This window comes from Homo sapiens, chromosome X (genome assembly GCF_000001405.40).
Source record: "Homo sapiens chromosome X, GRCh38.p14 Primary Assembly".
NCBI lineage: Eukaryota > Metazoa > Chordata > Mammalia > Primates > Hominidae > Homo > Homo sapiens.
In genome coordinates this window covers 123,801,305-123,805,446 of record NC_000023.11, presented here as the reverse complement: position 1 = coordinate 123,805,446, position 4,142 = coordinate 123,801,305, and positions in this window count along the sequence as shown.

The following is a 4,142-nucleotide window of genomic DNA, read 5'->3' as shown; positions in this document are numbered from 1 at the left end:
TTCAGCTGGAGAAGCCGGGCGCGGTGACTCACGCCTGTAATCCCAGCACTTTGGGAGGCCAAGGTGGGCAGATCACCTGAGGTCAGGAGTTTGAGACCAGCCTGACCAACAAGGAGAAACCCCGTCTCTACTAAAAATACAAAATTATCCAGGCATGGTGGTGCATGCTTGTAATCCCAGCTACTCGGGAGGCTGAGGCAGAAGAATCGCTTGAACTCTGGAGGCGAAGGTTGCGGTGAGCTGAGATTGTGCCATTACCCTCCAGCCTGGGCAACAAGAGTGAGACTCTGTCTCAAACAAAACAGAACAAACAAACAGACAGACAGACAAACAAACCAACCCAGCTGGAAGCCAGAGGCAATGGAGCTCACTGATGTGATGTACATAGGTCAGTCTCCCAGAGTACAGAACAGAGAAGAGAGCAGATCTAGGCCAGGCGCGGTGGCTCACACCTGTAATCCCAGCACTTTGGGAAGCCAACGCGGGTGGATCACCTGAGCTCAGCAGTTCGAGACCAGCCTGACCAACATGGTGAAACCCCGTCTCTACTGAAAATATAAAAATTAGCCGGGCGTGGTGGCACGCACCTGTAATCCCACCTGATCAGGAAGCTGAGGCAGGAGAATCACTTGAACCCAGGAGGCGGAGGTTGTAGTGAGCTGAGATCGAGGCACCGCACTCCAGCTTGGGTGACAGAGTGAGAATCTGTCTCAAAAAAAAAAAAGAGAGTGGATCTAGAGGAGCAAATCAATAAAGGACACGCAGCATAGGTCCCTATTACTCTTTCCTCTTGTTTTTTTTTTTGTTTTTGTTTTTGTTTTTGGAGTCTCGCTGTCTTGCCTGGGCTGGAGTGCAGTGGAGCAATCTTGGTTCACTGCAACCTCCACCTCTTGGGTTCAAGCGATTCTTCTACCTCAGCCTCCTGAGTAGCTGGGACCACAGGCACATGCCACCACGCCCGTATAATTTTTGTATTTTTAGTAGAGACGAGTTTTCCCCATGTTGGCCAGGCTGCTCTCCAGCTCCTGACCTCAGGTGATCCACCAACCTTAGCCTCCCAAAGTGCTGGGATTACAGGCCTGAGCCACCATGCCCTTTCCTCTTTTTTCAGTTCAGCCCAGGTCTTGAGCTGTTTGCCTCAACTTATCTTGCCTTTCATTTTCTGACCAGTTTCTGACCTTACCATCTTGTAACCCCTAAACTATTTTTTTTTTTTGAGACGGAGTCTTGCTCTGTTGCCCAGGCTGGAATGCAGTGGCCCAATCTTGGCTCACTGCAACCCCCGCCTCCTAGGTTCAAGCAAGTCTCCTGCCTCAGCCTCCTGAGTAGCTGGCACCACAGGTGTGAGCCACCACTTCTGCCTAATTTTTGTATTTTTAATAGAGATGGGGTTTCACCATGTTAGCCAGGCTGGTCTCGAACTCCTGACCTCAAGTGATCTGCCGGCCTGGGCCTCCCATAGTGCTGGGATTATAGGCATGAGCCACCACATCAGGCCTAAACTTATTCCTTTTGGAAAACTGAAGATGATTCTTGGAAGACAATGCTTGTCACTGCTTCTTACTTGTGACTTCTGGTTTCCTTCCTTCCTCATCCCTTTGATCAAGATGTTTTCATCTGCTGTGGGTTGCCTTACCCAGTACAGCATGCACTCTGGAACACCACTTAAACAAAGGCCCTCATAGGAAGTGCCCCTGCTATATTTGCTTTGGCCCTGTGAGTAGCAGCTGGATGTCACAGACTGAGATAGGAAGCACTTAATTGTGGCCGACTAATGACTCAGACGTGACACTAGTTCTGTTTACTTCCATCCCCCTTTCTTGCCTGGCAACCACTCTTATGAATAGATTAAGATCACCATGAACAAAGACACTGAACTCCAAACAACCAGGTTCAAAGGATATCTCATCAGAGGAGGGATGAAAATGATTGGAGAGACTATATGAACTTGAAAAGCTAGTATTTCTTGCCTATGCTGGATGATGAAATTTTAAAAAGAAAAAAAAGGCAGGCTAGTTAAGAGTTCTGGCACGCACAGGAAAGATAAGCTCCAATTTCAGAATAGTGGTTACCGCTGGAGAGAGAAGGAAAAGAGATACAGAAGTGAACAGGGATTTTCAACTGGGGCTATATTTTAGTATTATTATTTTTTATTTTTTTAATTTTAATTTTAATTTTTTTTTGAGATGGAGTTTCGCTCTTGTTGCCAAGGATGGAGTGCAATGGCATGATCTGGGCTCACTGCAACCTCTGCCTCCCAGGTTCAAACGATTCTCCTGCCTCAGTCTCCCGAGTAGCTGAGATTACAGGTGCCTGCCACGGCACCCAGCTAATTTTTTTTTTTTTTTTTTTTTTTTTTTGAGACGCAGTCTTGCTCTGTCGCCCAGGCTGGAGTGCAGTGGCTTGATCTCGGCTCACTGCAACCTCTGCCTCCTGGGTTCACGCCATTCTCCTGCCTCAGCCTCCGGAGTAGCTGGGACTACAGGCGCCTGCCACCATGCCCGGCTAATTTTTTGTATTTTTAGTAGAGACAGGATTTGACCGTGTTAGCCAGGATAGTCTCAATCTCCTGACCTCGTGATCCGCCCGCCTCGGCCTCCCAAAGTGCTGCGATTACAGGCGTGAGCCACCGCCCTGGCCAATTTTTTTTTTTTTTTTGAGACGAAGTCTTACTCTGTCTCCCAGGATGGAGTGCAGTGGTGCAACCTCGGCTCACTGCAACCTCTGCCTCCCAGGTTCAAGTGATTCTCCTGTCTCAGCCTCCCTAGTAGCTGAGATTACAGGTGTGTGCCACCACGCCTAGATAATTTTTGTATTATTATTAATTTTTTTAGTAGAGATGAGGTTTTACCATGTTGGCCTGGCTGGTCTTGAACTCCTGACCTCGTGATCCACCCCACCCTTGGCCTCCCAAAGTGTTGGGATGAGCCACCGAGACCGGCCTATATTTTATTTTTTAATAAACGAAATTCTGAAGCAGATAGAAGAAAATGCTAGAATTTAATAATAGTGAATGAATAAGTATTACTTATGAAATTCTTTGTTCTTTCTTATTAGAGACAGGGTCTTGCTCTGTCACCCAGGCTGGAGTGCATGGCACAATCATAGCTCACTGCAGCCAAGTGATGTTCCTAAGTAGCTAAGTCTTTGTCCTTTTCTATGTGTGGAGAGTATGGCTGAGGAAAGTAGAACAGGGAGGCCTTCCTCACAGATGTGACAAGGGAACTTAGACAGGATGTAAAGAATAGTGCAATTATTTGTCTGCAAGGGTCCAGATGTTGCACTGGAGCATGTTGCTTTAGTCCAGCTGAGGCCTCAATGAACTCCGGAATCGTGATAACACTGGCAGGGTGGAGGCTGTATAAAGGCTGCATGTCTAGCCTTGCTCTACAAAGGAGACAGTTCTCTGTAGTAGATAGGAGCCAGTCTATAAAGCCAGCCTGCTTGGGGCCAGATCTTGGTTCTGGCACTTACTAGCTGTGTCACTTCACTTCTCTGTATCTCAGTTTCCTCATCTGTGAATGTGATGAGAATGTCACCCTACATCAACAGGTTGTTGTGAGGATTATGGCCACAAACTAAATTTTATGCTATTTTTTGCCATCTATTATCCTTCCAGATGAGCTGAACAAATGGGAACAGTTCTCTAGCATAAGGATTGGCAAACTTTAAATTTTCCTTTTCCTTCTTTCTTTCCTTCCTTTCTTCCTTCCTTCCTTCCCTCCCTCCCTCCTTCCCTCCTTCCCTCCTTCCTTCCCTCCTTCCTCCCTCCCTCCTTCCCTCCTTCCATCCCTCCCTCTCTCCTTCCTTTCCCCCTCCCTCCTTCCCTCCCTCCCTCCCTCCTTCCCTCCCTCCCTCCTTCCCTCCTTCCTTCCCTCCTTCCTCCCTCCCTCCTTCCCTCCTTCCATCCCTCCCTCTCTCCTTCCTTCCTTCCTTCCTTCCTTCCCCTCTCTCTCTCTTTCTTTCCTTTTTTTTGAGACTGAGTCTCACCTTGTCATCCAGGCTGCAGTGCAGTGACAAAATCACTGCAGCCTTGACCTCCCGGGCTCAAGCAATTCTTCTACCTCAGCATCCTGAATAGCTGGGACTACAGGTGCTCAACAGCACGCCTGCCTAATTTTTTTTTTTTTTTTTTTTTTGAG